The sequence below is a fragment of the Homo sapiens genome, chromosome 5 (genome assembly GCF_000001405.40).
Source record: "Homo sapiens chromosome 5, GRCh38.p14 Primary Assembly".
NCBI lineage: Eukaryota > Metazoa > Chordata > Mammalia > Primates > Hominidae > Homo > Homo sapiens.
In genome coordinates this window covers 172,682,709-172,702,405 of record NC_000005.10, presented here as the reverse complement: position 1 = coordinate 172,702,405, position 19,697 = coordinate 172,682,709, and the positions used below count along the sequence as shown (strand labels likewise).

At 53.1% G+C, this 19,697-nt stretch overlaps 1 protein-coding gene and 1 long non-coding RNA gene across 4 annotated transcripts in view, besides 5 other annotated features; one reads left to right on the top strand and one right to left on the bottom strand.

Annotated features, from left to right (window-relative positions):
- The first annotated feature begins 1,981 nt into the window (after window positions 1-1,981).
- LOC107986479 (uncharacterized) lies at window positions 1,982-16,101 on the top strand. The gene is made up of 3 exons (XR_001742997.1): window positions 1,982-2,290; window positions 4,686-4,830; window positions 15,869-16,101. It is a non-coding gene; the product is annotated as an uncharacterized LOC107986479 (long non-coding RNA).
- Window positions 4,470-4,529: an enhancer, noted in NCBI's record as "active region_23641". NCBI's record gives its function as "activates an Ori minimal core promoter by ATAC-STARR-seq in GM12878 lymphoblastoid cells {active_cell/tissue: GM12878}" and the evidence as "EXISTENCE:reporter gene assay evidence [ECO:0000049][PMID:35858748]".
- Window positions 4,600-4,759: an enhancer, noted in NCBI's record as "active region_23640". NCBI's record gives its function as "activates an Ori minimal core promoter by ATAC-STARR-seq in GM12878 lymphoblastoid cells {active_cell/tissue: GM12878}" and the evidence as "EXISTENCE:reporter gene assay evidence [ECO:0000049][PMID:35858748]".
- The window catches only part of NEURL1B (neuralized E3 ubiquitin protein ligase 1B), a 50,278-nt gene continuing 41,446 nt past the window's right edge, over window positions 10,866-19,697 (bottom strand). For 2 of the 3 annotated variants that reach the window (NM_001142651.3, NM_001308177.2), the window contains 3 exons: window positions 18,268-18,987; window positions 16,110-16,235; window positions 10,866-15,725 (listed from right to left, as the gene is read on the bottom strand). In NM_001142651.3, coding sequence (NP_001136123.1) covers window positions 15,481-15,725; window positions 16,110-16,235; window positions 18,268-18,987 — 1,091 coding nt within the window. In that variant the 3' untranslated portion in view covers window positions 10,866-15,480. The remainder of the gene's footprint in view (window positions 15,726-16,109; window positions 16,236-18,267; window positions 18,988-19,697) is intronic. The other variant, NM_001308178.2, reaches the window with a different exon arrangement.
- Window positions 11,804-11,863: a silencer, noted in NCBI's record as "silent region_16624". NCBI's record gives its function as "represses an Ori minimal core promoter by ATAC-STARR-seq in GM12878 lymphoblastoid cells {active_cell/tissue: GM12878}" and the evidence as "EXISTENCE:reporter gene assay evidence [ECO:0000049][PMID:35858748]".
- Window positions 18,228-18,728: an enhancer, noted in NCBI's record as "H3K27ac hESC enhancer chr5:172110681-172111181 (GRCh37/hg19 assembly coordinates)". NCBI's record gives its function as "activates a minimal SCP1, AML or CMV promoter by ChIP-STARR-seq in naive H9 embryonic stem cells {active_cell/tissue: H9 hESC(naive)}" and the evidence as "EXISTENCE:reporter gene assay evidence [ECO:0000049][PMID:30033119]".
- Window positions 18,729-19,229: an enhancer, noted in NCBI's record as "H3K27ac hESC enhancer chr5:172110180-172110680 (GRCh37/hg19 assembly coordinates)". NCBI's record gives its function as "activates a minimal SCP1, AML or CMV promoter by ChIP-STARR-seq in naive H9 embryonic stem cells {active_cell/tissue: H9 hESC(naive)}" and the evidence as "EXISTENCE:reporter gene assay evidence [ECO:0000049][PMID:30033119]".

Genomic DNA, 19,697 nt, shown 5'->3' with positions numbered 1-19,697 from the left:
ATCGCACTCCAGTCTGGGCGACAGAGCGAGACTCCACCTCAAAAAAAAAAAAAAAAAAGAAAGAAAGAAAAGAAAAGAAAAAAAGAAAACGAAAAATCCCTCCTGTGGCTGCGTGGACAATGAATTTGGGTGGGGTGGGGTCCAGTGGAGCGGGGAGGCACTGATGGGCCGGGCCACAGTTCTTGGCCAAGCGAATGATGCGCAGGGACAGGGCGGGGCAGGGTGGTGCCCCTGACGAAGACTGAAGTGCTGTTTCCAAGAGGCTGGGCAGGAGAAAAATAATAGCTGTCCACTTCAGGGACCAAGGCGGTGTGTCTAAAAGCGAATATTATGCAAATAAAAAGCGTAAGAAAATAAAGGACCTTCTACACCTGGGACACGTGGGGCTCAGTAAATGTTGATGAACTGAAGAGCTGTACCAGGTGTAAACTATGGAGGGTTGTGCACGCCAGGCAAATAGAAATCTCACTTCCCTTCTGATTCAGGAGGAGGTGGAGGAAGAGGCAGGAACTGTCTGCTGTGGTTTCTTGAGGATGTGGCATTTGTAAAGCTGTGATCCATGTGCCAGTGCGAGAAAAGTCCTGTGAACACAAAACCAGCAGTGTCCGTACAGCGCCGTTTCTCTACTGTAATTCCCAGTCACCATCAAGGGGACTGACGCCCTAGCTTCGTCTCCCACCTACTGTGTCTTCCAAATGCCGCAAAATCCTCCCTCCAGCCCCAGCGGGCCTGCCTCTTGCACTTCTCCCCTTCTGCCCACCCTCCCCAGAACCCTCCCAAAAAGTGGAGAGGGGAGAAGTGGAACAAACTAAGCCAGCAGGACAGAGGCAAGAAAGGCTCAGCATGCACCCAGGTGGAAGGAACGTCCCAGGCATGGCCTGACGCCGATGTCTGTAGCCGTCAGAAAACTTCCTCTTAGGATACCTTCCCCAAGTCCTGTCTTCCTCATCTGCCATGTGGTCATTTGTTTAAGTGAAGAAATATTTGTGGGGTGCCCACTACGTGCCAGGCACTGTTCTGAGCAATAGGGATGCCACAGTGAACTAGATCTTGTCCCTGTTCTTGAGGAGCTGATAGGTACTGAAGGAGACAGAGAAGAAAATGCTTACAGATTAATCCAGCCCGGTGATGTGGGGGCAGGGGTGAGGTCTGTCGGGGGAGGCTTTCTGGAGGAGGTCATATGGAAACCAAGGTTTGGATGGTGAGCAGGTAAGGAGGCATGATCCAGGCTGTGTGAGTGTGAGTGTGTGTGTGTGTGTGTGTGTTCTTGGGGTGTGGGTGGGAACCTTCCAGACTGAGGCAGACACCTGTGTGCAACAGGTGTGAGTCTCAACCCATAAACTCAGGCATGCATTTAATGAGCTTGTCTTCCCAACAACTTCATTTCTATTTTGAGACTGCATTTCACTGGGGTGCCTTCCCTTTCACTCAAGGTCATGGCCAAGTTCCAGAGGTATAGTGCCAAGGCGTTGATGGGGAGTAGGAGCAGAACACTATTCTGCCTGCTCCCCTGGCAGCCCAGGCTGCTCCGAGAGCATCAGTTATGCAGTAAATCCGGAGTCCTTCCTGTTTGCTTTCTGCCCTGAGGCCTCTTTCCATTGAGTAGGGAGGGAGGGAAAGATTCTAGGTAAGCGGGGTGGGGTGGTGGGGCGGGGAGCGGGGGGCGGGAAATGCGAGGGGTCAAGGAGACTCAGTTAACACTTAGAACCATGAGCAATCCTTCTGTAGAGGCGGCTCGAGCTGGCTGGGGCACTACAAAGGGGCAGGGCGGCTGTGGGAGCTGTGGAGGAGTAAGGCGGGAGGCAGGAGGAGCCGTAGGAACAGACGTGACAGAGCTTGGGTGTCCTGCCACGGAGGCTGAACCTGGTTCTGACTCCCAAGGTGACTGTGAACACCGAGCCACACATCCCAAAGCAGCCCCGGCATTCCGTAGAGAAGGGCTGGGCCCTTTACACCCTCATTTATCCAGGAAGGAGGGGTGGGCCCTTCTCATTTACCCATGAAGGAGGGGTGGGCGGAGCCTGGCAGCTGTCGCTTCTCTCTACAGCAGGGGTGGGCTCTTTAAGGTCTTTAAGCTCTTTAAGGGGTGGGAGTCTCATAACTTCACTGGAGCCAGAGCATGCCGAGAGAGGCAAACTCTTGGCGGTTTGGGGTTATTCTCCACCGGTTCCTGGAGATCCGAGGGTAGCAAGTGCCAATGGCTGTGCTGGGGTCACAGAGCTTACAGAGCTCCTATCTTATCCACACCCAGGGCATGGCGCCTTCTTCCCTGGCAGACAAGTAGGGAATGGTAAGCGGTCCTTGGAAATTCTCTTGTGATTTAATTTGACTTAACTTCTTAGCATTAGTAGGTCAATTTTGCAATTTATTAGGCAAACCACACCCCTGGGGAGAGGCTTAGCAGCTGAGAGCGTGTTTTCTATTTTATGTGAGGGAGGAAAGGAAAGCCAAAAGAATTATTTAAAAAGAAATATTCAAAAGCAATCCTCAAGGTGGAGTTCAGCATCCTCTCCAAACCAGCTTCTTCTATACCTTTTGTTGTTACTGTGGTTATTGGCCTGATGGGCCACCCAAGCTGGAATAAGCTGCCCCTGGGCCTTCGCTGTGCTCTTCCATCTGCCTGGCAATCTTCCTTCCTCTTCTCCACCTGGAGGCTATCACGCGCCCCCTTCAAAATGCTCCTCCAAGTTTCCTCTTCCTGGACACCTCCCCTGACCCTCTCAGGTTAGTCAGGGCTCCCACGATGTCCTGGTTTTACCCTCGCCAGAACACTGGCCATTCTGTTGTAACATCTGCTTCCATTTCTGGCCCTGGCCCCTGGCAATGAGGATGGTGAGAGCAGAGATTTGTCGTGTTAGATTGATTTGCTAATTCACTGGGCTCTACTTTGTCCACTGTCTTTTATTTTTTATTTTGTGAGATGGGGTTTTGCTCTTGTTGCCCAGGCTGTAGTGCAATGGCATGATCTCAGTTCACTGCAACCTCCACCTCCCTGGTTCAGGTGATTCTCCTGCCTCAGCTTCCTCAGTAGCTGGGATTACATGTGCCCGCCACCACACCTGGCTAATTTTTGTATTTTTAATAGAGACGGGCTTTCGCCATGTTGAGCAGGCTGGTCTCGAACTCCTGACCTCAGGTGATCTGCCCACCTTGGCATCCCAAAGTGCTGGGATTACAGGCGTGAGCCCCACGGCTGGCCTGACCATTGTCTTTAGAGGACTGTCTCCTCTTGTCAGTTCTTTTTTTATGTCCTTATCCAGGCCTTTGTTGCATTAAACAATAATAACTTTTTTCTTATTATAACAATAAATGTTTCTTATAGAATTTAAAATTTTTCTTACATGTAGAGAAGCAAAAGAAGAAAATTAAACCACTTTTATTTCACCCTCATTGTACTTCCATCCAGATGACTTTTGTTAACATTTTGGTACATTCCTTCAGCCTTTTATTCCCATGACTAATTGTTCATGTATATTTTAATGTTATCATATGGTATATATGATTTTGTAGCTTTTAAATTTTTTTACTTAACAACGTATCGTTAATATTCTTCTCGTACTGAAGTTGGTCCAGGGAGATACAGTCCCAGATCTTGCTGTAAGGCTGGACCTCAAGCTGGGAGAATATGACTCTGGGCACGCCAGGGCTACCGTGTGCAGAGGCAGTGAGAGAGGAGGATGGTGCTATCATCATTCGCAACCCATTTAGTCCAACAGCTTTCAGCACCCCACAGCCAGTAAATACTTTGCACTGAGACTGATACAGGCCAGTTGTGCTGGGTTTCTGCTACTCCTGCTTGAAAGGCGGAACCTACAGAGGTTTCCAATCTACAGAGCTTGTCACAAACCCAGAGCAAACTTCTCTCTTTTTTTTTTTTTGAGACAGAATCTGGCTGTGTTGCCCAGGCTGGAGTGCAATGGTGCAATCTCGGCTCCCTGAAACCTCTGCCTCCTGGATTCAAGCGATTCTCCTGCCTCAGCCTCCTGAGTAGCTGGGATTACAGGCGCCCGTCACCACGCCCGGCTAATTTTTGTATTTTTGGTAGAGACGGGGTTTCATCATTTTGGCCAGGCTGGTCTCGAACTCCTGACCTCAAGTTATCCACCTACCTCGGCCTCCAGAAGTGCAGACGTGAGCCACCGTGCCCTGCCCCAGAGCAAACTTCTTTTGAACCAGCTGGGGCATAAATATCTCAAGCACTGGGGAGGCACTTTTTTTTTTTTGATGGCCAAAGGTGCAGTTTTAGCTGCATTGTCATTTCTGTCTATCTTTGAGGGTTTAAAAATATTGCATTTTCCTCCCCTACTTGTTTTATTCTAATGTGCCCGGCACAGGGTCAGACGTGCGGGTTAAACGGAGCGGGTCAGGTCAGTAGGACCGGAGTAAAGAAACGTCGTGTCCATGTGCCATCCTCCCAGCATTGCAGGGGCGGGGAGATCCTTTCCCAGCCCCAGCCCCAGCCCACCACACCCTCAGCTCCAGTCCACCCCCAAACGCAGACTTGACCCCAGACCCAGACTCAATGTCACCCTGACGTGCCTCCTCAAGGTTACCCAGATCCACAAGGCCATTTGCAGGAGTCTGGCTTCCCGGTCGTTGCGGCTTCTGCAGGATGCGCTCGGGGGGATGGTAGGGGGTGTAAATCTGTCCAGCACCTGGACCTTGACCAATGTCTTTCTGCTCAGGTCTTTGCCACTTCTCACCGTGGCCACTAGAGAGCGACAGTGCTCCATCTTCTAGAAAGAAACCGTCCAATCCCCGCGCCTTCTGCCGAGGAGCCTGGCGAGCCACCTCCCTGAACTTCAGGACTTTCAGTTTCACTCCCTTATGGTGAGGGCGCGGAAAGGGAAGCCCGAGGGGACGGGGCCCTTACCCAGGATCACTCCCAGCCCAGGCCGTTTCATTGCCCTTTGCCTGTCCGTCCATCCTTTCCTGGGAGGCCAAGGGGAGCTTGCCCTGTGGGAGGAAGCCTGCTCAGGAGCGCCAGCCAGCAGGGTCGTGTGAACCTCTTGGAGAAAGGCTGGTTTGTTGCAGAAGGCAAATGTCTCTTGGGACCTTTGCCCCCACCCTGGAGGGCTCCTCCAGCACGGGGCCCATCAGCTTCTGCGTTTGGGCAGCTCCTTTCTGCAGGGAGTGCTCAGGAGGAGCTTCTGCCTGCCAAGGGCTGTCCAGCATCTAAGGTCCAGCTCGGGTAGTACCTTGCGGGAGGCTCCCCCAAGCCGGGTCTGTATTCATAACACCTCCAGATGAAATAACTCCAGGGTGGAAAGATAGCAAGGTCAGCCGGGAGGGATGGCCCTGGAGTAGGTTCTAGACAGCCCTGGGACCACCTGTCAGAGGGACAGAGGCAGAAGGGAGTCTGCCATTGCTCAGAGTCATGTAGGGAACTCTTTTTGTGCTGATCAGGGGTGGGGTGGCACCAGAAAAAGGAGACGGAGTCAGCGTGGGAAACTGCGGGCAGATGGGGAAGCCAGAGAGGGTTCCTGGGAACATCCTGGTGTTTCTTTCCTGGGGTGGCCGTGGCAATCTCTCAGAGCCCCATCTCCATCCCTCTGAGGTGGGGTGGTTGTCCCTGGGGAACCCAAAGTGGGCTTGGGCCAGCGTTGAGGCTGGGGGGGCCAGCGTGGCTGCAGGCAGCTCCCCGCTCAGCTCAGTTGGGGAAGGCTTGGTGCTTCCCACGCCCCTCCTGGAATGCGGGGCTGCTCCTGGGAGTTGAGCAAAAGTGTGGCTTTCCCCTTGGAGTCTGAGGTCGGTCAGCCTCCCAGGCCTGGGGCCAGCGCTCTTGACTGGGAACCAAGACAAGCAAGGGGCGGGGGCCTGGGCCAGCCCCGAGGCCTGGCACGACCCCACCAGCAGATCACCACTCCGGTTCATTCTTTGTGGAAGGGAGGTGTGCTAATGCCAGAAATTCCACGCTGGGTGTGGGTGAGGGGTGTACACACTAAGACTCTCCTGTTTGGTAGACCCTGTGTTGGGAGCCGGGGATGCGCCGCGTCACCTGCAGATGCTGCTGACAGTGTCGCAGGGCAGGCTCACTGAGGTGGCACGGGAGGCCCAGGAGGTTGTAGGAGGATGGAGGCAGCCCCTGGCCCAGATGGGACAGGGGAGGGCATGGGCGAGGGGTAGCTGGTGTAGCAGGGTCTAGAATACTCCTAAAAAACATTTAGCACCTGCTATATGCCAGCCACTTTCTGACACAATTTGACACCCCTCTTCCTTCGAAGCTGCAGAAACTGAGGTTCAGAGAGGGTATGTAACTTGCCCAAGATCCCACAGCACAGGCAGGCCTGTCCCCTCAGCTGGAGGGAACTCACCCACCACACTAGACCCCATCACACTGGAAACCCCAGCTCAGAGCTAAGATGCCAGGATGCAGCCTCCTAAGGGCTGAGGGAGGGTGTGGTCTTACAGGGCCCACGTAGGGGCCACGAGGGGGAGGCTCAGAAGGGGGCATCCCCATCGTGCAGCTACAGGGGGCACATTCACGTAAAGTTTGGTATGTGAGAGGCACCCTTAGGAAGCCCAGTGGGGAGGGCAGGTCCTCTGCTGGCTGGGGCAGAGCATGGATGTGAACTCAGTTAGGCCGGCCCAGCCCTCCTAAGCAGGCCCACATGCTCCTGAAAGGATGGCCAAGGTCTTCGCTGGCCAGTCGGAGAGTCAGGAGAGTCAGGCTGTCTGTCTGGGGAGAAGGGTTTAGACCTGGGAAGGCCCAAGCTGAGAGGGGAGGAGGCTGACGAAAGGGGATCAGGCTGCCTGAGGCATTTCGTTTTGATGCATCTCCTCCCCAACACACCCCACTGCTGGGCTTCTGGAAGCTTCTCCATAGGTGTATTTAACAGCCAAGGTCGGGGTTCTGTTCCCATAGCTCGATGCCTGGAATAATCGTGTTTTCCACATCCCTGTGTGGGAGCTTCCAAGAGCTGGGAGATCAGAGCCTGAAGGGAAAAGCAAATATTCCCTGTCCCTGGAATTGAACGGATAGGCATTGTGTGAGTCAGGACACAGCTGATGTTCTTCTAGAAAAAGCCCTTCGAGGTGCTGAATCTGGCTGTTTTTTTCTTGTCCTTTTCTTCTTACTCTCCTTCCTCCTTTCCCTCCCCCTCCTCCTGACAATGTACCCACAGACATGCTGTGATGTGGTGGAAAGAGCCAGGCCTGGTTCAAATCCTGGCCCCACAGCTCCTAAGCAGTGTGATGTGGGGCAGCCCCTTCCCCTCCCTGTAAAATGGGACCGTAATACAATGGGTGGCTGGTGGGAGTCTGTGAAATCACAGCTGCAAATGTTCTAGGCCCATTTGCACTTGGGAACCAGGGGGTCTAGGTCCAAGGACATAATTACAAACAGAAAGCGAAGAAACTTTTTGTCTTTGAGAGGCCATATAAAGTAGGAGAAAGTTACTGATTCCTTCTCAGTCTTGGCTTCTTGCCTGTAAAATGAAGGTAATGATGGAGCCACTTCAGAGAACTGTTGTGAGGATTTACTGATGTCATGGATGTCCTTTGCACACACTAAGTGCTTATTAAATGATCTGGTATTATTATCTTTCTGGAGGATTTCTTGTCCTGCAGGAACTCAGGGAATGAGAAAAAGGGATTTGCATGCACAATAGTGAACCCCCACCGCACCAGGCTAGGTGCACCGCAGGTGGCAGGGGCTGGTGAGGGCCAGCGCACGGGCTGTGTGCACTGCAGCATGGGAGGAGGAATTGGATGTGCCAGGGAACATGGCTCAGGTGTTGGTAAGAACACACAGGGCCAGGAGAAAGAAGGATGCCTAACTGCATCGCTAAATGATCCCGAGCCCTCGTGGCCTGAATTGGATCGTTCCCACAGCTTCAGAAGTGCACTGGTCTAAACATGTCTGTTTAGGGGTCTGCCTTCCCCTCCAGATTGGTTGGTTCTTGAGGGTAAGGGCCATACCATACCTAGTTTTGTATCAGGTGTGGGCATGTGACAGGTTCAGGGATTGAGCTTTTGATCCAAGGAGTCAAAGGAGAGACAGCACTGGGACTTTTCCCGAAACTTTTTTAAAGGGTCACTAAACTGGCATGATATGAGTCACTGGAGGTTGTTCTGGTTGCTGCAAAGGGAGAGTCTGCCTGAGAGTGCCATCAGCTCAGAGGAAGGCAGAACTGAGAGACAGAGGCAGAGGCCTGACAACATCATGTGAATACCCGGATCTAGCTGTTCCTGAAGCTAGACTGATCTGTTCTGGGCGTGAGTCAGTACATTCTGCCCGCTCTTTTTTTTTTTTTTCTTAAATTGGGTTTCAGTCTCTTACAATGCAGTGGGCCTAGATTAATATGACCTTTTTTTCTTTTCTTTTTTGAGATAGAGTTTTGCTCTTGTTGCCCAGGCTGGAGTACAGTGGCACGATCTCAGCTTACTGCAACCTCCGCCTCCTGGGTTCAAGCCATTCTCCTGCCTCAGCCTCCTGAGTAGCTGGGATTACAGGTGCACACCACCACACCTGGCTAATTTTTTGTATTTTTAGTAGAGACGAGGTTTCACCATGTGGTCCAGGCTGGTCTCGAACTCCTGACCTCAGGTGATCCACCCGCTTTGGCCTCCAAAGTGCTGGGATTACAGGCTTGAGCCACCACGCCTGGCCCTACCTTTTTTTCTTTATTCAAAAAAGTTTTGATTATCAGATAGCGTCTGTGAAAATGTTGCCTGGTCCAGTAGAAGGACATAGCGTTGTGGGAAGGAAATCTGGAAGGGGAGAAAGGATCCTGGGTTTTGGACAGACTCGGCCCCTCACTAAGACTTTGGTAAAGGGGTGCGAAATGTGTCTCTGAAAGATTTTGCCTTGACTCTGGAGCAGGCCCACCTGGGGGCCAATCCTACTTTGACTTTGGCCTCCTTGCCTGTAAAATGAGAACACTATTGTGAAGATCCATTGTGAGAATGTGTGAGAACCATGGTTTGTGCTGCTTGATAAATGCTGGTTTCTCTTATCCCATTGCTTCCTAAAACTCAGTGTCACCAAGCCAGGCTCTTCTAACCATCCAGAAGGAGCAGGCCTGGGCAGCTCCCTCTCCTTGTTCACCCCATTCCCCTACTCCCAGCTCCCACTCCTGCTACCACTGCCATGTTCCACCCCAGAAATTTGGGCCCCAAAACCTAGCCTGGAGGAAGCCCAACCAAACTGGTCAGCCTGGCCTGGCCTCTGCTAGAAACGTACAGGTCCTTATCTCCACCGGACTAAATTTGGATCTTAAACTCACAGACAATCAGCCTGGGAATTCCTGACAAATTCCAGCAAGGGCCAGCTGTTCTCTTTGGCTTTTGCAGAGTAGGGAGATCATTTTTTCCAAGTAACAAGTTTAAATGAAAAGTCATACTTGCTCATTATAGAAAATTTGGGAAATTTGGGAAATTTTCTATAATGAGCAAGTATGAGAAAAAGGCACCAATAAGGCCATCACTCAGACACAGCCCTCATGGACATTTCACTCCTTTCTTTCTGGTCTTTCCAATGCATGGGTAGGTTTTTGGGCTGTTGGTGTTTTTGTTTTTTTTTTCATCTGTGAGATCACGGTGTATGTGCAATTTTATATCTTGATTTTTTTTTTAACCACACTTTAACATAAACCCGTTCCTGTGTTACAAACTAACAATTGTTGCTTGGTGCTGGGTGCCAGATGCTGTGCCTGGCACATCACTGGTATGATCTCAATAACATTTACACCCATCCTAAAATCAGGAACTATTATTGTTCTTGCTTTGAAGATGAGGAAGCTGAAGCACAAGGACGTTAAGCATCTTCCCCAATGTCTTGGTGAGGCCTTGGCAGTCTGGCTTCATGCTCATGCCATTAGCCCCATATGTATCGGTATCATGGTTTCCCGTTCCCTACACAGAGGCCTGTTGTTTTTGCCCACGCTGCATTCTTCTTCTTCTTTTTTTTTTTTTTTTTTTTTTTTAGACAGAGTCTCGCCCTGTCACCCAGGCTAGAGTACAATGGTGCGATCTCGGCTCACTGCAACCTCCACCTCTCAGGTTCAAGTGACTCTCCTGCCTTAGCCTCCTGAGTAGCTGGGATTACAGGTGCACGCCACCACGCCCAGCTAATTTTTTATATCTTGAGTAGACGCGGTTTCATGATGTTGGCCAGGATGGTCTTGAACTCTTGACCTCATGATCTGCCCACCTTGGGCATGCATTCTTTAGGACTCATTTTCTCTGGAGATTGCGATTCCCCACTTTCAGCCCAGAGTTCAGACAGGGCAGCTATTGGGTGCAGGTGAGCACCCATCCTGGGTCTGACCAATCAGAGCCCCGTATCTCCCTGTCCTGTGACTGGTTCAGGAGCGGACACGTGATCTGAGCTGCTCCGTGCAGGGAATGCTCAAAGGCAGGATGCTGGTGGCCCTGCAGGAGGCATCTTGAGAACCTGCCTGGGAATGGGGCCAGATCACAGGGCTGAGCGAGAGGGGAGAGGCTAGTCCTGATGCAGCATTTCAGACCCTGGTTCTACCTGCACGTAGAGTGAGTTCTGCTACTGGACTTTTCAGTTCCCTAGTTCTTTATCCCCCTAAAACCTATCCGAGTTGGGTTTCTGTCACTTGTAACCAAGTCTTGGTGAATACACCCTGGTTGTTGGACATGAGGGTTGCTCACAGCTTTTTACCACTCTAGAAAATGCTGCAGTGAATATCTTTACACATAGATCTCATCCTTGATTAGAATGATTTCCTTGTGATTTTCACAGAAGTGAGTTATTTGGCAAAGGCATCAAACATTGTCGGGGTTCTATAGCCATTTTGCAACTTATTTCCTCAAGACTGGCAATGATTTGGATCCTCACCTTCACTCCCCATCAGTGTATGTAAGTGGGATTTTAAAAATTGAGTTCTGAAGACTTTTTTTTTTTTAACAAGCCAAAGTTGTATTTTTTTAAACAGGAAAATTATGTCAATATAAAACAGATAAAAAGACAAAAATCAAAACACACAACACAGAAAAGCACAACACTCAAGACCAGTGCAAACCCTTCCCAACCCACTTCCCAGGTTTTAAAACCTTGATTACAGATCCCCAAGGATTAGACTGTATCGGAGAGGTCACAGTATTGAATCAGAAAAAGAAGACATGTTTTAAAAGGTCTGTACACAGGTAGTGGTGTGTGGGGTGGGGGATGTACACTTCATCACTCCAACATCAAAAAACATGATGCAAAAAGGATTTCAGCGATGACCACAGATTTCTAGAACCCTACCACGTATGCTAGCCCCCCTCCCCATCCACTTTTAAAAGTTGCTTTTAAAAAGGATAAAAAGTGCACAGACACTTTCGTAAGGCACAGACAGATTGTCACACAAGTCGTTTCATTAGGGACTCGGATAAGACAGCGAGACAGTTAAATACCGAGAAATGCCAGGAGGCCGCATGTTCCTGAGCCGGTGCCCCCTGCCAGGACTGGGGCAGGCGCAGGGCCGAGCAATGGGAGGTTATTGCCTCTGCCTCAACTGGACGGACTCACCGGGGTTCTCCTGGGCCTTGGCGACTGATTTCCAGGGCCTGAAAGCAGCAATTAGCCAACCTCCTCACTGTGTCTCCCTGGCAGGACCTGAGGGTGATCACCAACCGGCGGGGCCTCTGGGGGTTCTACTTAACGCCGTTTTGGCAGCAGCTCACTGACTGCAATGTGCCCAGCATTTCCAATGAAGAGGAGGTTCTGTGAAGCGCACAGCAGGTTCTGGTCAAGAAGGCAGCCTTTGGGCACCCACCTCAACAGACCCAAGGCAGCGGATGGCCAAGAGAGCCCAGTGGATTCTGCCCCAAATATCTCATTTCCCTCTTAGTGTCACCTCTGCCAGCATCACAGCTGGGGCACAGTCCTCTCTGCTCTATCCTCACAGCACCTCACACGTACTAGGTACTCAGCAAATGTTTCTGGAGTATCTTTGTGTGCGTTATGTGGTGCTGTTTTATCAAACCCCTGAACACTCATAATCTGATTTCTGGTTTACTCAGCAAACCTCTACTGAGTAACTACTACGTGCTGGCACAGGACCAGCACCGGGGGTCAGAGAAAAGTTCACCCTGTGTCCTGAACACAGTCCATGCTGATTAGTGGCATCGAGGGACTGGAAACGTGGTGCTGCCGTGAGGGGAGCAGCTCCATCCCAGGGGACTCCCCGTTCTGAGAACCTGCTAGGACAAGGAGCTGGATTTGCTTTGCAAACAGCCCAGTTTTTCAGGAGTCTCCGAATGAATGGGCACAAGACCATGAACAACGGGGTGTTTTCAGGTGTCCCCTGTCCTCGCCCTGGAGCCCTGGCTGCTGTGGCCCAGAAGAGCACACCATGGGCAGTGAGCCTGGAACAGCCGAGGGCTGGGTCACGTGAGGGGGTGCTCAGGGGGCTGGGGCCCCGCTTGAGGGGGTGGTGATCACGGGGCCTAGGAAGGTGGTGGGACAAGGCCCCAGGTCCCTTCCTAACTGTGGACACCCCTGAATAACAAGAGAGGGCCCTTGGGTTGGAGTCCAGATCTCTCAGACCTCAGCTCTGCCAGGAGAATGCGGGCAGTGAGCAGATGAGCCTGGAAGGGAGGCCGCTTCTCCTCCCAGGGTGTGGGCAGCGGAGGGGCCTGGCTGGGGCTGGAACCCTCCACATAGGCACAGGTGCCCGGACTCTCTCCAGGTGAGTTTCAAGGGAGAAAACTCACAGTCTCGAGCTTCCTGGGACTTGGAGCCAGGCAGTGGGAGTGTGGGATGTGGCAGCAGACACTCCCGGGTTTGAATCCCAGCCCTGCCATCTCCTGTTGTGTGATCATGAGGTCACTTCACTCACAGGACCTCAGTTTCCTTACCTGCCAAGTGGGATAACACCAGCTTTCATAGATTGTAAGTAGCACAGTTTTTTTTTCACACGTGAACATCTCTGATTGGAAGGAACTGTACAGTTGTAGCATCTTAGTTAAGATTGGCAGCGTTTTTCCCTATGGTATGTAAAACAGTGTTTTATGACCAGCAGTGTCTTTGATGTGACTTATTATGGCAATAAGACCTGCCGCACAGGATTCACGCAGGAAGGTGCCTCTCTAGCCCAGTGCCAAGGCACGCTGTAGGTGCAAAATAAAGTACAGTGGCTCCTTTTCCTCTTTCTCTTGTCCCCTTCTCAAGACAGAACATAGTGGGGACGTGTGCATCTCCTCTGTAGCACTGAGTAACGCTCAGAGCATCAGGAAACGTCTGGTTTTTAGAAGATAAACACTTCCTTACCTCCTCTTGGAAACAGGGAGGCTATTTATAGCAGCTGCAGAGCAGGTTGAACGGGCCACTGACTCGCTTCTTCCCAGGTCACAGGTGGCCAGGAGATGCCTGGTCCACCTCTGGGTCCAGGCCTCAGTCACTGGTTTCCCAGTGGAGGCTGGACGTGACCCCGGCTGGAACCCAAAGGGGCAGCCAGGAAGGGCAGGAGAGTGGAGCTGCTTTCCCCCAGGCCACTGAGACCCCACAGCTTGTGGCTGGGTCGCAGTGTAGACAGGAGACGGTTGTCTGCAGCACCACAGGCCTGGGGTGAGGAGTCCTCCCATGCAGGGCCTGTGCGTGGCCCCGCCCACACCCAGCACATGCAGGAAACCAAATTCAGCCAGGCACCCAGGGCTGCTGGATTCTCAAACTCTTATCTTGGCAAACACTGTGGTTCCAAAAGCTGCTCAAAAGATTCTGCTGCAAAATTAAAATGTGGGAATTTCCCCAGATTTTCTAGGGAAAAGTAAATAATCAGGGATTCTTGATGGGGCAAGAGAGTGGGGACCTTAAGTTGGAATCAGGTCAGACAACTGTGATTACTCCCAGCTAGAGGAGGAACAGGAGGCCCCAAACCACCAGCAGCGCATGGGCACCAGCTGGTCTGTGGGGCTTGATCTGGTGAAGGCCTGGCCCAGCTTTGCTCTGGGCACCCAGACACCCAGCAGTGTTTGTTATATGAATGCATCAACTCCCCTGCCTTCCTCTCCCTCCTTCCCTCCTTCAGCAGGACATGAACAGATTAGGAATTGTACTCCAAATGATACTTGCTTTTTGTAAGGCGTCTCAGGCTTTTTAGAACGTTGTACTGGTCCTCCCAAGAACTCCTGGAGTTGTCAGGTTCTAGACTTCTAATTGGGAACTGAAAAATAGACAGGCCAAGGGACTTCCCTAATGGGACAGCACAGAAGAGGGCAGAGGTGGAGCCCAGAACTGGGGGCAAGAAGGGAGGGACAGGCCTGGGCCAGCCCATCAGCCCAGATGTGATCTGGGAGTCTGCAGAGATGGGCACGGCTGAGGGGGTGGGGCAGGGTCAAGGTCCCAGGAAATACCAGCAGGTAGGTCTGGGAAGGGAGAGAATCCCAGTGCCAGCATTTTTCGTTACTGTCTCGATCATTAGTTAACATACTTATCAGTGAACACTTTAGTAACCAGCGGAGGAAGATACACTGAGAATCAGAACAAAGACCAAAAGTTATAACCAAAGTTATAAAGCCCTCGTTCCTCCTCCTGCCAGCAGGTCCCCTGGGAATGCCAGGCCCAGGGGCCACCACAGGAAGGTAGAGAGCTGTCTGCATCGTGGAGTGGGCTTTCCAGCTCCAGGTGGGTCACCTGCCTCTAGGATTCTTTCTCTCCCACAGAAAAACAGAACTTACTGCTGGTCTTCTCCTTGGAGATAGGGAAGGGCATTACAGAGACTTGCCTCCAGAGACGGAGACAAGGTATGATGTGTGTATTATTAGACAGTCTGGGGGTGAAGGGGTGAAAAGATGACACAATCCAGAGGGGTTGGCCTCGGTGCCCATCACACCCAGCTCTAAGACCCAGTAAGAAATGAAGAAGTGAATTGTTCTTCACCCACCTTCCCCTCAAGGAGTTCATGCTTTGGAGCTGTAAACAATGAGTTATTTTTGCCTCCCCTTAGAAAATCTGAGCATCTCTTTTCTACACCACCCCAGGGAGTTCTGTGAGGGTCAGCTTCATACATTCAAAACCAGCTTATGTCCCATCCCCAGAAAGTGAACAACTTCTAGTCATGCCAATGTCGGGGCTCCGGATTGCACGTCTCCTCCCGGAGCCGGGACCCCTGGTAAAATCGCTACACGTTCATTCTCTCTCTCTCTCTCTCACACACACATTCTCTCTGTTCTCCCTCCCTCCCCTCCCCTTCTCTCACACTCAACCCAACCCCAGCAAGAAGCATTGCACAGACAGAGGACGCTGTTTCCCAGTTGAAAGGTCACCAAGGGACAGGGTGATCTGCCAGGCAGTTCCTGAGCTTGCTCTTGGGACGGCCTTTTGGGGGCAAAGCACTTTGGAGCCAGAAGCAACCCCTGCCTGGGCTGAGGCCCTGTGGGCCTCGCTCCACGACTGTCACACCTTGCCCACCACTGGAGAGATGGCCGCTGCCCGTGGACTCCCTGGCAGCCATGTGGTTGCCCAGCCCAGGGGGCCTTCAGAAAGGTGACCTTGCACCGGCCAAGGCCCGTGGGCAGGCTAGGCTATGGCCTGTAGATCTTAATGACGTCCTTGATGGGCCGCCGGCAGATGGGGCAGCAGGCCCGGGCCTGTCGCTTGAGCCGCAGGCCGCAGCTGTGGCACAGGCACATGTGTCCACACGTGTAGATGACCGTGTCCACCTCGCCATCGAAGCACACCGTGCACTCGCCATTCTTGATGCCTGCCGGCTCCGGTGGGGAGAACACGGGGGACACCGGGGGGCTCAGCGGGGAGCTGGGGGCCGTCACTGCCGAAAGGGAGAAGAGGACATATGTTAACAATGTCTCTCTCAGGTGGGCTCTGTTGGGGCAACCCCGAGAATGCAGGGCTTCTTGCTGGGACCGGTGGGAGAATACTTTTGGGAGATACTAATTTGAGTTTACCTTGCAGGTTTTGCACCTTTCTCTACTCTTCTACTCCCAAACACCAAGATAAAATGCCACCATCGTCACCCTTTGGAATGCCCTATCTAGACACTTCTCCTCCCTCCAGCTGAGCATACAGCTGAGGGAAGGAGAGGATGCGGGGGAAAGGCGGCCACCCTGCTCAGTCCCTGGAAGGCCACTGGCACAGCCGGAGGAGCCAGGCCAGCCGCCAGCCCCTGCCCCTGCCAGGGTTTGCATTTCCTTACCCAGGGATGACTCAGATGCCGAGGAGGACTGGTTGACACTGAAGGTCATATCTGAATCACTATCGTCCTGGGAGCCGCTGAGGGACCCTGATGGAGTCGTGGTCGCAGGGCTGGACTGCAGGGTACCTGAGGCCCAAAGAGATTCCATCAGGGGCAGTGGAAGGTTGGACCTGCCCTGCTAGTCCATGGTTCTTCACTGCTTTGCACCTTAGCTTTCCCGTCTAACGAGAGGACCAGAGGTATCTCCCAGGGTTCTGCTGAGGAGTGAAGAGTGCATCCCAGTGTGGTGCCTCTGTTCTTTGTCTACCAGGCCTCTATTCTCTTCTCTTTCAGAAACAGCCCTGGGATGTTCTTTTGGGATACTAATGTGCCCTCCCTCATAGGATAAGGGCCAGGCCAACAGGAACTTCCACTCTCTGGTCTCAATAGTGGTGGTTCAGGAAAGGGCACATAACCCCCGTAAGGCCCGAGACCCAATTCTGCAACTTTTACTGGAACTACTAGGAAAGAAGGAACTCATTCCATTCATTGGGAAGGAAGCCTGGAGCTGGAAGAGCCAACCCGTGGCAAAGGCCTGCCTGAGAGTGATGCCAACACAGAGGCAAGCAGAGCTTTGAGTTGGAAAGAGAGGTAGGATCCTGCTGATATCCTTCCAGTACCTAGATCCAGCTATTCCTGAACTCACCCAATATACTCCCAGACATTTCCTTTTTTGCTTAGGGCACTTTGAGTGGGGTTTTGCCCCTTGCGAGAAGATCCCTGACTACTAGTGCTCAACATGGATGAGTTTTCTTCCCCAAGCTTGCTGTTGGTTCAGACAATAACAGCTTGTTTCTTAGGATGAAAAGATGCCCCTTCCCTTGCCCTACCTGAGGATGAATGGACAGATAATGGGCACTTCGTCTCGGGCTGAAATGATGACTATGTCTGATGGTTCCTCAAAAACACAAAACAACACAACTTCCCCCTCCCCAAAAAACACTCTGACCAAATAACCACACTGCCACCCGGCTCCTCCTCTGCCCTCATGAAGACAGCAACAGCTGCTGTTGTTACTGTTACCACTGATTAAACCAGTGTCAGGCCCCGCTCAAGGCATTATATGCACATGATTTCATCCTCATGACAACCCCATGAAGCAGGTATCACTCTCTTTCTACAGAAGGAAACAGGCTCAGGAGAATCTGTGATTTGTCCAGCATCTTCAAAGCTGACCAGCGATGTGACCCTGGGATAGTCATTTAATCTCTCTGTGCTCATTATCTTATCTGTAGGTGGGGATAATGATACTGATTTCAATAGAGTCAAAGGGAGGATAAAATTCAATGAGGGAACATATGAGCTGTTGACTGCTTCTTATTGCTTGGACTCTACTTTTTGAGCCATGAAGTTGGAGCCAGGCTCTCTGGGAAGCCTTCTCTGAACATCTCCTTCACTCCACCAAGCTGGGAGAGGAGCCCCCGGCTGTAGCAAATGTCACACCGTGCAACTCTCCTTTAGGGTGTCTGTGAGCTCCTAACCGGCATGGAGTGTGTCCTGTCCTCTGCTGGCCCTATCCTGGTGCCCAGGGCCCGGCCCACAGCTGGTGGCTGCTCCTGCCTATTTGTGGCATGAATGAAGGCAAAAATTATCTCAAAATAGGATGGTTCAGGCCTCCATTCCACTTTCTGTGGACGATACTATTCTTATTTCCTCTTTCATGTGCAGTCGAATTTATTTTTTCCCTACACTTACTGTGCATTACATGTTAAAAACACCCTAATGTAACAAATCGTAACAACGGAACTAAAAATCGCACCGACCATTTACCGAGGGGATATAGCCTGCCAAGCTCGGAGATAAGCCGGTTACCTATCTAGGTCGGTGGTTTACAAAATGTGGTCCAGAGAGCCGCAACGTCAGCATCTCCGGGCACTTGTCGGAAATGCACGTTCTCGGGGCGCACCGTGCACCCACTGAATCCGGAACTCTGGGGTGGAGTCCGGCAATTTTGGACGGGGTGGATCGTGCCCGGGCGCTTAAAGTTGGGAACCGCGGGCTGGCCTCGGGCGGTGCAGCGCCTAGCGAGAGGGGCGGGGCCGGGGAAGAGCGCAGCGGGGTGAGACGGCACGGGACGGGGGAGGGGCGGGGCCTCGCGCACGCGGGGCCGGGGACTCACCGAGGAGACGCAGCTGGCCCGCGACGCCGCCGCGCACGGCGAAGAAGGCCCAGAGCGCCTGCGTGGTGTCGACGCACAGCAGGCGGCCGCGCGGACGCCCGTTGATGCCCAGGAGCACGTCGCCGCCGGGCCGCAGCGTGAAGCTGAGCGCGTCGCCGCCGCTCGGCACGGGCCCGGCGCGCGCCACCACCCAGTACTCTTTGCGGTCGAGCAGCGCGTCTGGGTCGGCGGGCAGCTCGTTGGGCCGTAGCACGCCCGGGTCGCACGACGTGATGCCGAAGGCCAGCGCGCCGGGCGCCGCCAGCCCCGGACGGCCCACCTCCACGAAGAGGCTCTCGCCGGGCCGCAGCGGGCGCTCGGAGAAGACCAGCGTGCGGCCGCCGTCGGGCCGCGGTGCGCAGGCCACTTTGCGGTCGGCCGACAGGCTCACGTCGGGCCCGCGTGTTGCGTGGAAGCGCAGGTCGGCCTCCAGTAGCGCCGGCGACGACGCGGGCCGCGGGCGCTCACGGGGCCCGCACGGAATGGCGGCGGCCGCGGCGTCGGCTGGCGGTGGGCCCGGGGCGCGGCCCAGCGCCAGGTGGCCCAGCTTGGCCACCACCTGGTTGTTCTCGAGCTCGTTGTTGTCGAAGTTGGCCGCGTCGTGGCTGCTGGGCGGCAGGCAGGCGCTGAAGCGGGCCTGGCTGAGGCGCGCGGGCGTCAGCGTGTCAGCGAAGGCGCTCTCTGTGCGGACAAAGGGAGGGACATGGAGGGGGAGAGGCCGCGCGTCAGGCTGGTCGCGAGCCCCTCCTCGCCCGCTGCCTCCTGCAGGCCTCCACGACCGACCCGGGCCTCGAGCAGCCCCCACCCCACCCCGGCTTCGAACTCTCCTTTTGTCCATCTGTGTTATTTAGTGAGTCACAGGAGCACAGAATTGCATTAAGCACCATCCTCGGTTTCCTTGACATGCTCTTACCTTTGGGAGCGGCAGATAAGGCCCTTTTTCCCCTGCCTCCTCCTTTCTCTTCTTCCATCCCTCCTTTTCTCTCCACCCTTTCCCCTTCTCTCCCTCTTTCCGAGGTTTCCATACTTTGATCATTAAAAGGGCATCTAAAAATCGTTTATTGTCCGTCTCCCCAACTAGAACATAAGCTCCAATAAAAAGAGCAAACCTGTACTCGTGGCCTTACGCAACGGGCACTTCTAAGCTTTCGCGCGCTACCTCATTTAATTTACACAACCACTCTGTGAGGCATGTACGGTTACTGCCTGCTATTGAGCTCACAGGGAAACTGAGGCACAGAGGGGTTGGGGAACATGACCAAGGGCACATGGCTACTAAGTGGCAAAGCCCCGACTTGAACCCATGAGTTGAACCCAGGCTGTCTGGCTCTAGAGTCTGGGCTCTTCAACACATGCTGCCTCTGAAAGAAGGGAGGACCTGGGTCTGTCCT